The sequence below is a fragment of the Homo sapiens genome, chromosome 7, assembly GCF_000001405.40.
Source record: "Homo sapiens chromosome 7, GRCh38.p14 Primary Assembly".
Taxonomy (NCBI): Eukaryota; Metazoa; Chordata; class Mammalia; order Primates; family Hominidae; genus Homo; species Homo sapiens.
Window position 1 is genome coordinate 39,567,261 of NC_000007.14, and position 15,071 is coordinate 39,582,331.

The following is a 15,071-nucleotide window of genomic DNA, read 5'->3' on the forward strand; positions in this document are numbered from 1 at the left end:
TGGTATTTGCTTAGCCCAAAAACCATGTTGTCAATTACAAAAATGCTTTATGTGAGACTGGGGCCACACTAATAAGTATTGAGCATCTTTTAAATGCTGTGGCACCGTGAGAGATGCAGAACGAAATCACTACCCACAGAGCTTTTGCAGGTTAGTTGAATTTAGGTATTATGCAAAATTTCTGAAACCAGACTTCTCATCATCCTTTTTTTTTTAAACAATTTCCTCTCTCTGCTTTGCCCTGTCTCCTCACCCACCCACACCATTCCAATCAGTTGGCAAGAGCCCAGATGTGTAATTTTCCATATATCCTTTTTGTGAAGACATTGCTAATGCTGGGTTTTGTTTTTTGTTTTTTGGTTTTTTTAATCTTTTGAAGTGATTAGAAAAGTTTATTTTGTGCTTAGGATATTTTTCTAAGGCATCACAGGTTACACATCCAAACTCTTCAATGGTATAATATTTTATATTCTAAAGGAGAGACCTTTAAAGAAAACTTGTACATTATGCTACTATAAGTCTAGTGGATTCTCCTATCCGCAGAGCCTAGAAAGAAGGGGACATTACAGAAATTGTCTACTACATAATGGTCAGTTGATTCATTGTATTTATGGTTTTCCCCCTTCTTGTAAGGTGAAAACTATGTATGCCCTTTAAGGAGTATGCTCTTTAAGGAGTAAAAATACACTAAGTGTACCATCCTGTTGATTTCTACCTGTAAGATACCACACAATATTAGCAGTTAGGAAAGAACAGGAAAATATGAAGTTTGTATCTTAAAATATAAAAATGTGTGGCGAAACCCCATCTCTACTAAAAATACAAAAATTAGCCGGGTATAGTGGCGTGCACCTATAGTCCCAGCTACTTGGGAGGCTGAGGCAGAAGAATCACTTGAATCCGGGAGGCAGAGGTTGCAGTGAGCTGAGGTCATGCCACTGCACTCCAGCCTGGGTGACAGAGCGCGACTCCATCTCAAAAAATAATGATAATAATAAATATATATATATATAGTTAATGATTTTGAAACATCAAGCATTACAGACTGTAAAATTAATTAAGAACTTTCTGTATATGATGCCAAAGATACATTTAAAACATATACAAGAAGATGCTTTTTCCTGAGTAGAATGCAAACTTTGTTTTATATTAACCTTCTGTGAATTTTCAAAATGTAAAATACCAGGACTTTTCCACATCAGACAAAAATCAGGAATGTTCACCTTCACATCCAAAAAGAAAAATTTTAAAAGACAATTTCAAGTAGTTCAGCAAGAATGATTTAAAATCTGAAATGAATGGCCAAAATTTTAAATTATCAACAGACAGTTCAATTTGATGGATCTCTCAGTAAACTTCAGTTTGAAACAACAACAAAAAATGCTGTTTACTAAATCATAAAAGATAATTCCAGGATATTATCCAATTTGAAAAATAAAAAATGTAACCCGTAATAAATAAGAAAAATACAAGAGAAAATCAACCTTTATTGGAATCGAGAGAATACCATGGACTTTAAAACTTCCTAAATCAGTAGCTTATCCTATATTACCATGTGTAGAAAACTGCAACTAATTAATGTAAGGTAGTTTTTATTAGTTGCATAACTTAAAAATATGAGGAAATTTTGGAATATATCTCTAAAACCACGGAATTGTCACTGAAATATATATTTCTTGAGACAGTGGGCAAAGTTCCCATTTATGGGAAATACTTTCCTTTTTTCACACACATGAAACTGAGAAAAATTATATCAAATGAGAAATATTTTTCTCTAAAATAATCTTAAGTACCCCAATAATGCAATACTGGGGAAATGTAAATTTTCAAAACTCAGATTTGAAACAGGTTATTATTAAACAAATATACATAAATCTTATTGTTTGGCAAGATTTTTCAAAAATTAGAGAACTAGTTAAACCACCATACTGTCCTTAAATCATATTTCAAACTTACATACCTAGTGCTTTTATGTTCTGAATGTAGAGTCTTCAATTTAATGACAATCTAGACTGAATGCTGTAATATACAAGCAAGTCACAGTTCACTTCAAACCAAAAGAAATAATCAGTCTTCTGTTTTTATCAAAATCATGATATTAAGATAACTATACAATTTATCTGTGACCAGTGATGGACCCAGAGAGTGTTGTGTTATGGCATTCTGTGGAAAGTCTTTGTTCCTTCTTTACTTTTGGCTTCTTCTTCTGAAACATCTTCTTTATCCGCCTCTTGTTCTTCCTCCAGTTTTTTCAAAGGTTGAGCAGATTCTGATAATTTTTTTGAAGGGTATGGCTGTGGTGTGTGCCTTTCTGAAGGACAAAGGCAACCTGCCACAAATATCATACAGAGTCCTAGTAACAGTCCAGAATGCAGAGTTGCTAAAGGAAAAACAGCATATGATCCCCACACTGGCAATCCAATGTCTTCAATAAAGTAGTTATGGCAAGTCCTGATCCACGTAGATAGCTGAAAGAGTGCTGACGTACTACTCATCTGAACAGAACCTGAAACAAACCATGATGAAACGGGTTCAATACTCTTCCACTCTTTATCACTTATAAAGTTTATGAAGTCCTTCTGAGTCCTTGGACCCTGAGGATGCCTAAATTCACCATCTTTACAATGATAAATAGTAGGAAGAACAGTTATTGTAAACTGTCCAGTCAGTCCTGGCTGCTCTGTGACATCTACTTTCACAACATTAACCTCAGATCTTCTCCCCATTCAGCAAAACTTTCCCATTCCGGTTAATGGTTTTGACAAGCAGGGCACCACGGGGCATAAAATTGTATCATCCAGCCTCCTTCCAGCAGCTCTCTCCAGTTCTTGTCTGTGATGATGCGTACGTTGCTCTGCCGCCTGTGGGTCCAGGGAGCACCCCCAAGCAACAGTACCAGGACTGCCAGCGGAACTGCAAGACTCCTGGAGGGTGCCATGTCTGCCGCTTGCCCACCTCACAGCAAGCGTGGCGGCCCAACACTAGGTTTTTTAAAAACTGTGACTATCAGTGTTTTAAAAATTGCCCGGTAACTCTAGACTTCAAAAGTGGGATAAGTAATGATAAACCAATAATAAACTTAGGAGAAGCATAGTCTGCTTTAGTTATATTGTTATGCCATATTATGGTCAGTAACACAGTAAAGGCCTAATTCATCTGCTTTCTAAATTGGTTCTGTACTTTTCTAGAAAAGCCTACATGTATATACTTAGTTACAGCTGCACTTCTCCATTACTTATTTTTAGGAAGGTTATAGAGATGGAATAGATGCTGGCAAAGCAGTTACTCTTCAACAGGGCTTCAATCAAGGTTATAAGAAAGGTGCAGAAGTCATTTTAAACTATGGACGACTCCGAGGAACATTGAGGTAATTTTTAAAGTCTAAATGCTGAATCATTTTAACCTCAATACTACTGGAGGATGTTTCTGTATAAATAAAGTGTTTAAACTGAAATGCTTTTCCTGGTGCTAAATACACTAAAGCGTGTCGCAGATCATAGAATTATATTGCCTTCAAAAAGTCAAAATCTTTATCAGCTCATCTACTTTAATGTGTGAACTACATATTGTCTTTTCGTGCAAAGAAATGGTAAGAAGATGTATACTTCTGCTACCTGAACAATTATCTATCTCATTGAAAGGTCTTCAGATTTTGAATAAAACTTGTAGTACTTCCACACAGTATGACAGACCTCTAGACTAGAAGTACATGATGAAAATAGTTGGTAATTAAGATAAAATTGATTTAATTTACTTTAGTCCTGAACATTGAATACTTGTCAGGATGCCATTGCAATAATGGCATATATCGGAGCCAAATGGTCAAATGATACACAGAGCCAGGAGCCTAGCAGCCTTGTCCAGTTTGATGCTCTATACCAAGCTTGTCCAACCAGTGGCCTGCATATCACATGTGGCCCAGGACGGCTTTGAATATGGCCCAACACAAATTCATAAACTTTCTTAAAACAATATGAGCATTATGAAATTTTTTTCATGATATTTTTTCTTTTTTCTTTTTTTTTTTTTTTTAACTCATCAGCTATCATTAGTGTTAATGTATTTTATGTGTGGCCCAAGACAGTTCTTCCAATGTGGCCCAGGAAAGCCAAAAGATTGGACACCCCTGCTTTATACCCTTTACACTGTCCTTGGTAGAGAAAAAAAAAATGCTTCAAAGAATCGCTAATTTTAAAGAAGAGTAGATGATAAAAGTTACCAAAACAAACCGAAAAATTTATTGTATTTGGGATTTTAGAAAATCCAACTATTAGGAACCAGAATTTAGTCTGCTACAGTAGGAAAACAATGTGAATATTCACATCATCAAGTTGATGTTACATAACCTTAGAAAGCTACTGCTGAATCTTTTATATCAATGGATTCTATTTTTAAATACTTTTCATAATAATCATTATTTTATGACATGACTATAATATTAAATCTGTTAGGACTAGAAGAATTTTTACCTTTTTCAAGGAAATTGTTAGTAGTTCAGCAAACAGTTTCTACTCTGTGACATAAGCCCAGGAAAGTGAAGTCTCTTGAAAACTTCTTTTCTCTAACCTTCATTCTTGATGGCAAGCAACTATGTGCTTAGAACGATGGTTTTCAACTTTGGTTGCACCTTAACTCTGAAACTTAAAAAAAAGATACCCCCTGAGATTCTGATTTAATTGGTGTGGAGTATAATCTGGGCCTTGATAGGGGTCAGAGCTCTTCAGGTGATTCTAATGTGCATCCATGATTGAGAATTGCTAGTTAAGAAGCTGTTTAATGTCCTTAAAGAAGAAACTAATTTTTCTTTCTCGGAGTTGTATTCATCTTCAACAGATATTACATAGTCATAAGAGAAAAATATAAAATCAGGAAAAGCGTATATAGAGTTATGAAAGAGGGGTTATGAATTATAAACAGTTTTATGATTAAGTCCAATCGTTTAATTGTTATTGAAAGATAGTCTTATATTTTTAAGTCCTATTTTGCTATTTAACCCTTGTTTATACTTTTGTTCAGTGCTTTGCTCTCCTGGTGTCACCTTCATAATAATAATTCAACTTTGATCAATAAAATAAACAATCTTCTGGATGCAGTTGGCCAGTGTGAAGAGTATGTGCTCAAACATCTGAAATCAATCACTCCACCGTCCCATGTTGTAGATTTATTGGACTCCATTGAGGATATGGACCTTTGTCATGTAGTTCCAGCTGAGAAAAAGATTGATGAAGCTAAAGATGAAAGACTCTGTGAAAATAATGCTGAGTTTAACAAAAACTGTAGCAAGAGCCATAGTGGGATAGATTGTTCATATGTAGAATGTTGTAGAACACAGGAGCATGCACATTCAGAAAACCCAAGCCCCACATGGATTTTGGAACAGACAGCCAGTTTAGTTAAACAGCTGGGCCTATCAGTAGATGTATTACAACACCTCAAACAACTATAAAATTACCTTCCCTTTTCTAATGAAAATAATGTTCAGAACATTTGGTTTCCTAACAATCGAAATTTGTACTGGTTTCTGCATCAAACACCTCAACTGTAGGGTTACCCTTTATGGAAGTTTGAAATTAACACTATTGTCTTCAAAATTAACACTATTAAATGTAATATAAGCCTTTTTTCTTTGTCACTGGTAATTTTTATGTAGTTTTAAGATATGGTCAGAAATTTCTACTGTCATTGACATTTCCAAACTTGTGGTCAAAATGAAGTGTTTTCAGACTCATTAGCAAAAGTGAACAAGAATTAAACATATTTTGTAAGGACCTACCCCTACTTCTACCTCCTGTCACTATTAGGTGGTCAGGACCTCACCAAACCAAAGTTATAAAAATAACTTAATAGTTAACGTAAATATAGACACACAGACAGATATATAGATATAGATATGTAGATATATATTGAAATTAAGAGACTGTGAGAAACTGAAGCAGTGTTTATGCTGTTGATTAAATGGTTAACAGCAAAATACTAAAATGTGTTTTAGTTTTGTGTTAATTAAAAGTAAGGACATTCAGTTTTATGAAAAACATAGAAAATATATTTTATGCTAAAGTCTAAGGAAAATGCCTACTTAGTTTTTCTAAGTAGTAAGGAGTTAGTAATATTGCCTAACAGTGTGCCAGATTATTTTAAACTGCAGTATATTTCATATTCACATAGGAGTAAAACACTGAAACCACTGACTTCTATATTACCTTGAGGTAATATTCTTAGTCTAGCATGGACAAAATTAGATTCAAATTTTTACTCCAGGATCTAAACTCAGAATCAGGAGAGGATTTCTCAGCACTTTTATTCACCTGAAACACAAGTTTATATGAGATACCTGACTTCAAAGGCACTGAAATAATTGTCCCTCATTGGTAGCCTTAATTGCTCTTTCACCCCTATTTATACCTACCATCTAAGCTGAAAGACAGGCATATTGAGATGAAGAATCTGACAAAGTATATCTTTTCAAGAGATTAAAAATGTACACTGTACTATGACCCTCCTCAAAGTTCACAGAAGAACATTAAGAAATTGAAGCAACAGATTTAAAATCAGAAAGCCATATTGAGTTTCAGGATTTATTAAAACCCCCGCTGAAGATACCAGTGCCATTTGACAGCTGGCTAAAAAAAGCTCTTCGATCTCTCCAGGTGTGAAGACTGTTTTTCAGAGATTTACTAGTTTGTCTTGTTAATATATGTTTCCATGTTTATGGACACAGCCCAAATCTCAACTCCACATGGAATATGGGTATTATAAGCAGCCTCTAAAGTCTTTTTAATGTTGCTGTGCCGTGCATATACATATGAAATACCTCTAAGGATGCATCTCAAGGCCACCCTAAGTAAAAATGTCATGGGTGTGGTAAATCTTGAGATTTTTATCTAGGCTTTTCCTGATAAGATTCCCTGAAGATAACACCCATTGCCACCATTGGCTACATATGGTGTGTTTGTACAGATTTTTGTCGAAAATGAAATCAGGAGAATTAGCTAGTTGAGACTATTGGATTGAAAACATCTCTCGAACTTGTTTTGCCTTTTAAAAAGTACAGAAGGGGCCAGGCACAGTGGCTCACACCTGTAATCTCAACACTTTGGGAGGTGAAGACAGGAGGATCACTTGAGTCCAAGAGTTCAAGACCAGGCTGGGCAACATAGTGAGACTTTGTCTCTAGTAAAATGAAAAAAATCCGCTGGGTGCAGTGGCTCATGCCTGTAATCCTAACACTCTGGGAGGCCAAAGCAGGTGGATTGCCTGACCTCAGGAGTTCAAGACCAGCCTGGGCAACATGGTGAAACCCCGTCTCTGCTAAAATACAAAAAATGAGCCAGGCATGGTGGTGCATGCCTGTAATCCCAGCTACTGGGGAGGCTGAGGCACAAGGATTGCTTGAGCCTAGGAAGCGGAGGTTGCAGTGAGCCAAGATTGTGCCACTACTCTCCAGCCTGGGTGACAGAGCAAGACTCTGTCTCCAAAAAAAAAAAAAAAAAAAAAATCCGACAGCCATGGTGTTAAGTCCCTGTAGTCTTCGCTACTTGGGAAGCTGAGCTGGGAGGATCACTTGAGTGCAGAAGGTTGAGGCTGCAGTGAGATAAGATCACCCCACTCTACTTCAGCCTGAGTAACAGAGCAATACCCTGTCTCTAAAAACATGAAATACAGAAGTTCCTGGACTGCAGAGGAATGTTAATGGCATGCTGATTCTACCTGTGTTCCATGAACATGAGCCTCTGTACTAGAACCAAGAATGAAGGGAAAGAGCTTACTGGCCTTGGGTCTCTTGCCTTGCCTCACATGTTGTAGGTCTGCCAGGTCTTCCCATGAGAATACCCTGCATGAGCATAAATGAAAAATGGTAAAGCAAGATTGCCCCAGAGCTGGCACAGCCAGAGTTTCAAGGCCCAGAACCCAGACATTAGACTGAGTGGTGTGGCTTCCTTAGAAACAAATTTCATCTAAAATAAGTTACTTCTGGGTGCTAATATATCTGAGGTTTTTAAAAAGGGTGATAAGGAAGCCCACAGAACCACACTTTTCTGACATTTTAGTTACTAGAACTGCTGAGGCCACCAAAAATGTTGTGATATGTAAAGGGAGTGGGCAGCTGAATGCATATACCTGCGTCCTTACCTAATATATATCCTTTACACTACTTATTAACTGCTTTGTGGGAAACCAAAATAAAAGCCTTCAGCCCAGTCTAAGTTGTGATTCTACCCTCTTCCAACTAAGGTTAGAGCTTAGTTCTTAGAACTAAGTTTCCAGTCTAAGATACAGGAGAGAGAGAGAGAGAGAGAGAGAGAGAGAGAGAGAGAGAGTGAGTGTGTGTGTGTGTATAGAGAGTGATTCACCAATCAGGCTTCTTGTTCTACAGAAATTCTCAAATCTCTGTCATGAAGATACTTTACCGCAACAGTTGCCTTTCTTGATTTTGCCCCTACGTAATGCCTTTTCTGAACAAACATGCTGGAGCACGAGTCTGCCATCACTGTCTCAAATTCTTAATTTCTCATGCACTCTCCACCTTTAAACTACTTTTTGCTAAAGTCACTGATAGCCAGTCACACAACTGTCCATCACTGACTTGTTTTCAGTCCTATCATTTGTCTCCTCTCCATCATTGGACATGAACAATTCACTGCTTATACAATCCCTTCTCCTTGCCTTCTCCAACAGCACTTTTTCTTGTCCGCTCATTACTATTCCCTATCATTTTGCTAACTCTCCCCGACTCTGACTGCTGCTTAGATGTAGGGATTCCCCAGAGTTTCACTGTTGGACCTCTTTGTTTTTATATTCTGACCAGATGATCTCACCTATTAATGTCATCCCTGTTCATCCATAGCTGGAAACATTAAGTCTTCCTCTGCCCTTCCTGTGCCATCATACCCTACTTCTAACTGAGTTGCTTTACATCTTTCAAACAGTTTGAGTCTGGCCTCCTTTCATTCTAATCACCCAGATTTTAATTAATTTATGTACCAGCCTCATCACTAATGTCAGTACCTACAATCTAGCTGTCTTCCTGTCCATTCTGTCTCTTACCAATATTATCTTTCCAAAACAGTTTACTTCCCTGACTTAAAACCTAGATTTATTCCCTTTTGTTTCTGTTTTTGTTTTTCAGGTCTTGGCCCAAACCTGTTGAAGTGTTGGGCCCAAAAGAGTGTTGTCAGTCTTCTTTTCCCACCTGCCTCTTTCCATTCACCATGCACACTACACTTCTTTACAGGCATTACTACAATGCTTTATGGACACACTAGGCTTATTCCCAACTTAGATTTTTACTCATTGCTGACTCTTCTGCCTAGAATACTTTATTCCACGTCCTTTCCCAGCAAATTCCTGTCACCCTCCAATACCAGCTTAAATTTCAGCTTCATCAGGCAGAGGTGATTGCTCTTCCCAATGTTTCCCCTGCATCACTTTGAGTGTCTCTTCACGTTTCTCCAGGAAAATCCCTTATTTAGTGTTATAGTCCCAGCATTCAGCATCACACCCTGTACATAGATGCATAGGTGGTGCTTGATGAGAGAAAAAAAAAATGAATCTACTAGCCAACATGGAAATATAACCAGAACAGGAGAACAGGATTCCAAAATACATCGTGTTACATTCTTTTGTAAATCTTTATGTTAGCTTTTCTTTTTTGAGATGGAGTTTTACTCCTGTTGCCCAAGCTGGAGTGCAATGGCGCAATCTCGGCTCACTACAACCTCCACCTCCTGGGTTCAAGTGATTCTCCTGCTTCAGCCTCCTAAGTAGCTGGGATTACAGGGGCCTGCCACCACACCCAGCTAATTTTTTGTATTTTTAGTAGAGATGGGGTTTCATCATGTTGGCCAGGCTGGTCTCAAACTCCTGACCTCAGGTGATCCACCCGCCTTGGCCTCCCAAAGTGCTGGGATTACAGACGTGAGCCACCACACCTGCCTTATGTTTGCCTTTCTAAAAAATGTTTATCTTCATTTTGCATGTTAATAAAAATCCACATATCCAAACTGTGTCATTGAGAGGTGACGAAGTGCTGGCAGCCCTCTCTCACTCTAGGTGCCTCCTTGGCCTCAGCACCCACTCTGGCTGCGCTTGAGGAGCCCTTCAGCCCGCTGCTGCGCTGTGGGAGCCCCTCTCTGGGCTGGCCGAGGCCGGAACCGGCTCCCTCCCCTCCCAGGGAGGTGTGGAGTGAGAGTGGCGAGCCAGCGTGAGCTTCTGGTGGGAGGTGGGCTTGGCAGGCCCTGCACTTGGAGTGGCCGGCCAGCAGGGAGGGAGGGGTTTAGCACCCGGGCCAGCAGCTGCAGAGGGTGCACCAGGTCCCCCAGCAGTGCCAGCCTGCCGGCACTGCGCTCAAATTCTCGCCAGGCCTCAGCTGCCTCCCCGGTGGGCACGGCTCAGAACCTGCAGCCTGTCATGCCCTAGCCTCACCCCCACTGTGGGCTCCTGCGCAGCCCAAGCCTCCCCAACGAGCACCACCCCCTGCTCTGCTGCGCCCGGTCCCATGGACTGCCCAAGGGCTGAGGAGTGCGGGTGCACGGTGCGGGACTGGGAGGCAGCTCCGCCTGCGGCCCAGTGCAGGATCCACGAGGTGAAGCCAGCTGGGCTCGTGAGTCTAGTTGGGACTTGGAGAACCTTTATGTCTAGCTAAGGGATTGTGAATACACCAGTCAGCACTCTGTGTCTAGCTCGAGGTTTGTAAACACACCAATCAGTGCTCTGTGTCTAGCTAATCTGGTGGGGACTTGGAGAACCTTTATGTCTAGCTAAGGGATTGTGAATACACCAGTCAGCACTTGGTGTCTAGCTCGAGGTTTGTGAATACACCAATCAGTGCTCTGTGTCTAGCTAATCTGGTGGGGACTTGGAGAACTTCTATGTCTAGCTGGAGGATTGTAAATGCACCAATCAGCACTCTGTGTCTAGTTCAAGCAGCGCTCTGTGTCTAGCTAATCTGGTAGGGAGTTGGAGAACCTTTATGTCTAGCTAAGGGATTGTAAATACACCAATCAGCACTCTGTCAAAACGGACCAATAAGCTGTCTGTAAAACAGACCGATCAGCTCTCTGTAAAATGGACCAATCAGCAAGATGTGGGTGGGGCCAGATAAGGGAATAAAAGCAGGCTGCCCAAGGGTCTAGTTGCAGGCTGCCCAAGGGTCTAGTTCCATGTTGTGGAAGCTTTGTTCTTTTGCTGTTTGCAATAAATCTTTCTGCTGTTCACTGTTTGGGTTTGTGTTGTCTTTGTGAGCTGTAACACTCACTGCAACGGGCTGCAGCTTCGCTCCTGAGGCCAGCGAGACCACGAACCCATTGGAAGAATGAACAACTCCAGACGCGCTGCCTTATGAGCTGCAACACTCACCGCGAAGGTCTGTAGCTTCACTCCTGAAGCCAGTGAGACCATGAACCCGCCAGAAGAAAGAAACTCCGAACACGTCTGAATATCAGAAGGAACAACCTCCGGACACACCACCTTTAAGAACTGTAACACTCACCGCGAGGGTCTGCAGCTTCATTCTTGAAGTCAGTGAGACCAAGAATCCACCAATTCCGGAGACTACATCGTCATACACCAGGCTAAACAGTTACGTTAATATAATAGCATTTACCAGTCATTACAAATTTTACAATGAATAAGTTAATATTACAATATAGCAAAACTTTAAAAAATACAAAATTATGTTTTAGTATAGTTTCCGCTACTAAGAAAGTGCAGAAAGAAACTACACAAAGGCAAAAACTAGGTGAAAACAAACCAAGATGTTAGTTTCTAGCAGGATCCCTGGTGCATAGTTCTAATAACAGTAAGGAGCTGGAGGAAAAAGAGAGGGGAAGTAATGGTTAACGCAGGCAGTGTTTACTATATGTAGGCACTATATTCTAAAAGCTTTACATATATTAATTTCTTTAATCCTCATAATAGCCCTCTCCTGCAGAGCTGCTTTTATGCCCATCTTAGAGATTAGGAAATCGAGGCACCAAGAAGGCTAAGTAATGTGTCCAGTTTGTAGCTACTAAATGGCCCACTTGAGATTTAAACCAAGGCAAGCCTGGTTCCAGAGTGTGTACTCAGGGTGGATGCTTACTAAATAATAACATGGTAGCAGTGACTGTGTTTAGTAGGGGGACTGTGAGCTATGTGTTTACTTTGCTGTTAATTTCTATTTTTCTATGAGAGGCCGAGGTGGACAGGTCACTTGAGGTCAGGAGTTCGAGACCAGCCTGGCCAACATGGCAAAAACCCATCTCTACTAAAAATACAAAAATTAGTCTTGTGTGATGGCAGGCACCTGTAATCCCAGCTACTCAGGAGGCTGAGGCAGGAGAATCGCTTGAACCCAGGAGGTGGGGGTGCAGTGAGCTGAGATCACGCCACTGCACTCCAGCCTGGACAACAGAGTGAGACTCTGTCTCAAAAAAAAAAAAAAATCCTGCTTTTCTGCATTTTTCAAGTCTTCCCCAGTCAGCAAGTATTATTTTTATTTTAAAAATGTATGTAATAGCCGAGCTACGTGTCTATAGCTCACACCTACAATCGCAGCACTTTGGGAGGCTGAGTTGGAAGGATCACTTGAGCCCAGGAGTTTGAGACCACACCAGCCTGGGCAACATGGCAAAAGCCTGTCACTACCAAAATAATAATAGCCAGGCATGGTGGCATGCAACCTGTAGTCCCAGCCTCCTGGGAAGCTGAAGTGGGAGGATCACCTGAGCCCAGGAGCTTGAGGCTGCAGTGAGCTGTGATCGCACCACTGCACTCTAGCCTAGGCAACAGAGTGAGACCCTGTGTCTAAAAAAACAAAAAAAGCATAATAACCAACAGTTATAAGGAACAAAAAATTTACCAGATTTGTTTGCTATACATGTAGAAAAAGAGATGGTCCCTGCCTACTCGAGGGGAGAATATTATGTAGAAAGTGGTTTAGCACATATACTAAAGGAGAAACTAAATTCTCCTCGGACTTCTTAGACTTTCTATCCTCCAAACGGGAAGATAGTTTATGTCACTCATTTTGTGATGATGTGTCTAGCTTTTACATATTCCTATTCAACTGAAAGGAAGGGTGTTAGCTCACCACTCACATATGTGCATACTGCTGCAGATCTGCCAAAAAGAGCCAAGAGTCCTCAGTGTGTAACACTCCGTTTTCTTGCCCTATAAATAGTCTGCTCTTTCCAAAAAGAAGATCAAAGTACTAATCAGAACTACCTACAGATTGAGTTCTGCGGAAGTTGAATCCTGGTGCTTTCATGCATGTGTATGCAACTCACCACTGAGAGAGGCCTTGGACCTTTGGATCCTCTTTCTTTCGAAGAAGCTGTTGAGTTAGTTCAAGGCCACTAGGTGGTGCTCGTGCACCCTGATAAGTTAGCACGTGTTTCATTCCTTGGTAATGTGCCCTTTGCTTAGACCTCATGGTCACAAGTACAAGAAGCTAGTGATTATCCCTAAAGCTATACCAGACAGATTGAGCCATTTGTGAAGTTGGGTGGATGAGGAGGGCTTTTGGGGTATGTCGACAAATAAGAAATTAGGATCCTCCTGTTCTTGTTTAAATTCTAGGCTGAGAATTTTTCTAAATCAAAATAACTGATCATAAGAAAACCTGTTCAAAAGAAAAAAGCACCTTTTTTCCAAAGCTCTGAGGCCTAAAAGTAAACACCTAGAACCCAAAGCATGCAGCCTTCAATCAGAAGCAATGTAAAATTCTAACCTCACCTGCAGGAAGCATCTCTACTTGCCAAGCAGGACTGCACCTAAACTGTTTCAAACAACACTTGCAGTTCATCTCTTGATCTCACTCTCTCTTTTTCTCTCACACACACAAACACAACTTTTCAGGATGTAAACATAGGGAGAGACAACAACTTTGTTAACCTACTCAAATATATCACAACTCTTCTCTTTTTAGTCAACAAATCGACAACCAACTAGGTTTTCCTCTCATCAAATACAACTCTAGAATAGTTAAGCCTGTTTCCTTATTAATGACATAGTCATCGTTATCTATGTAACATGGCTTTGTTATTTATAAAAGAAATATATGGTTCTAGATAGATTTTTAAACACAAAACAAATGAGTTGTCAAATTGCTTGTAATAATGAAATATGAGAGATTTGACAATAGTATAATGATAGCTTTTGCCAATAAAGCAAAATGACTGAAATTGGGGTATAATGTAAATAACCTGAAAATAAAATATCTTCTTTTTCTTATTTGGAGGCATTGCAAAACACCTTTCTTCCAAAATCAGATTCTGAAATAACCAAAAACTCTCTAACCTGTAATTAAAAATTACACCATGGAACAGCAAATTATTATTAACAACTAACCACCCTGGCACGGTGGCTCATGCCTATAATCCCAGCACTTTGGGAAGCTGAGACAGGTGGATCACTTGAACCCAAGAGTTCAAGACCAGCCTGGGAAACATAGGGAGACCGCATCTCTACAAAAAATACAAAATCAACCGGGCATGGTAGTGCACACCTATGGTCCCAACTACTTGGGAAGGCTGAGGCAGAAGGATGGCTTAAGCCCAGGAGTTCAAGGCTGCAGTGAGCCGTGATCCTGCCACTGCACTTCAGCCTGGGTAACAGAGTGAGACCCAGTCTCAAAAAAAAAATAAAAAACAAGAAAATAACCATAAAAATAGCTTTTTAAAAAGTAAAAGTTAATTTTTTTTTTAAGAGATGGAGTCTCACTCTGTCACTAAGGTTGGAGTGCAGTGGTACAATTACAGCTTATGGCAGCCTCAATCTCCTGGGCTCAAGCAATCCTCCTGCCTCAGCCTCCCAAGTAGCTGGGACTACAGGCACTACACCAGCTTCTGAGAACTGTGTCTGTAGGTAGTTCTGATTAGTACTTTGGTGATATTCTTTCTGGAAAGATCAGACTATTGATAGGACTATACCATGCCGGGCTAATTTTGTTGTTGTCATTTTTGTTGTTGTCATTGTTGAGATAGGGCCTCACTGTGTTGCCTGGGCTAGTCTAGAACTCCTGGGCTCAAGTGATCCTCCTCCCTCGGCCTCCCAAAGTGCTTGAATTCTAGGCATGAGCCACCATGCCCAGC

At 40.1% G+C, this 15,071-nt stretch overlaps 1 protein-coding gene and 1 pseudogene across 2 annotated transcripts in view, besides 3 other annotated features; one reads left to right on the top strand and one right to left on the bottom strand.

Moving 5' to 3' along the window:
• YAE1 (YAE1 maturation factor of ABCE1) overlaps positions 1-15,071 on the top strand; it is a 45,686-nt gene that overhangs the window by 857 nt on the left and 29,758 nt on the right. The window contains exons 2-3 of one of the 2 annotated variants that reach the window (NM_020192.5): positions 3,246-3,367; positions 5,017-5,621. In NM_020192.5, the coding sequence (NP_064577.1) occupies positions 3,246-3,367; positions 5,017-5,446 (552 nt within the window). In that variant the 3' untranslated portion in view covers positions 5,447-5,621. Of the gene's footprint in view, positions 1-3,245; positions 3,368-5,016; positions 5,622-15,071 lie in introns of those variants that run through there. The other variant, NM_001282446.2, reaches the window with a different exon arrangement.
• Positions 358-2,971, bottom strand: TMX1P1 (TMX1 pseudogene 1; annotated as a pseudogene).
• Positions 7,497-7,697: a silencer, noted in NCBI's record as "peak6497 fragment used in MPRA reporter construct". NCBI's record gives its function as "represses an SCP1 promoter by STARR-seq MPRAs in K562 erythroleukemia cells {active_cell/tissue: K562}" and the evidence as "EXISTENCE:reporter gene assay evidence [ECO:0000049][PMID:32103011]".
• Positions 13,038-13,117: an enhancer, noted in NCBI's record as "active region_25877". NCBI's record gives its function as "activates an Ori minimal core promoter by ATAC-STARR-seq in GM12878 lymphoblastoid cells {active_cell/tissue: GM12878}" and the evidence as "EXISTENCE:reporter gene assay evidence [ECO:0000049][PMID:35858748]".
• Positions 13,138-13,187: an enhancer, noted in NCBI's record as "active region_25878". NCBI's record gives its function as "activates an Ori minimal core promoter by ATAC-STARR-seq in GM12878 lymphoblastoid cells {active_cell/tissue: GM12878}" and the evidence as "EXISTENCE:reporter gene assay evidence [ECO:0000049][PMID:35858748]".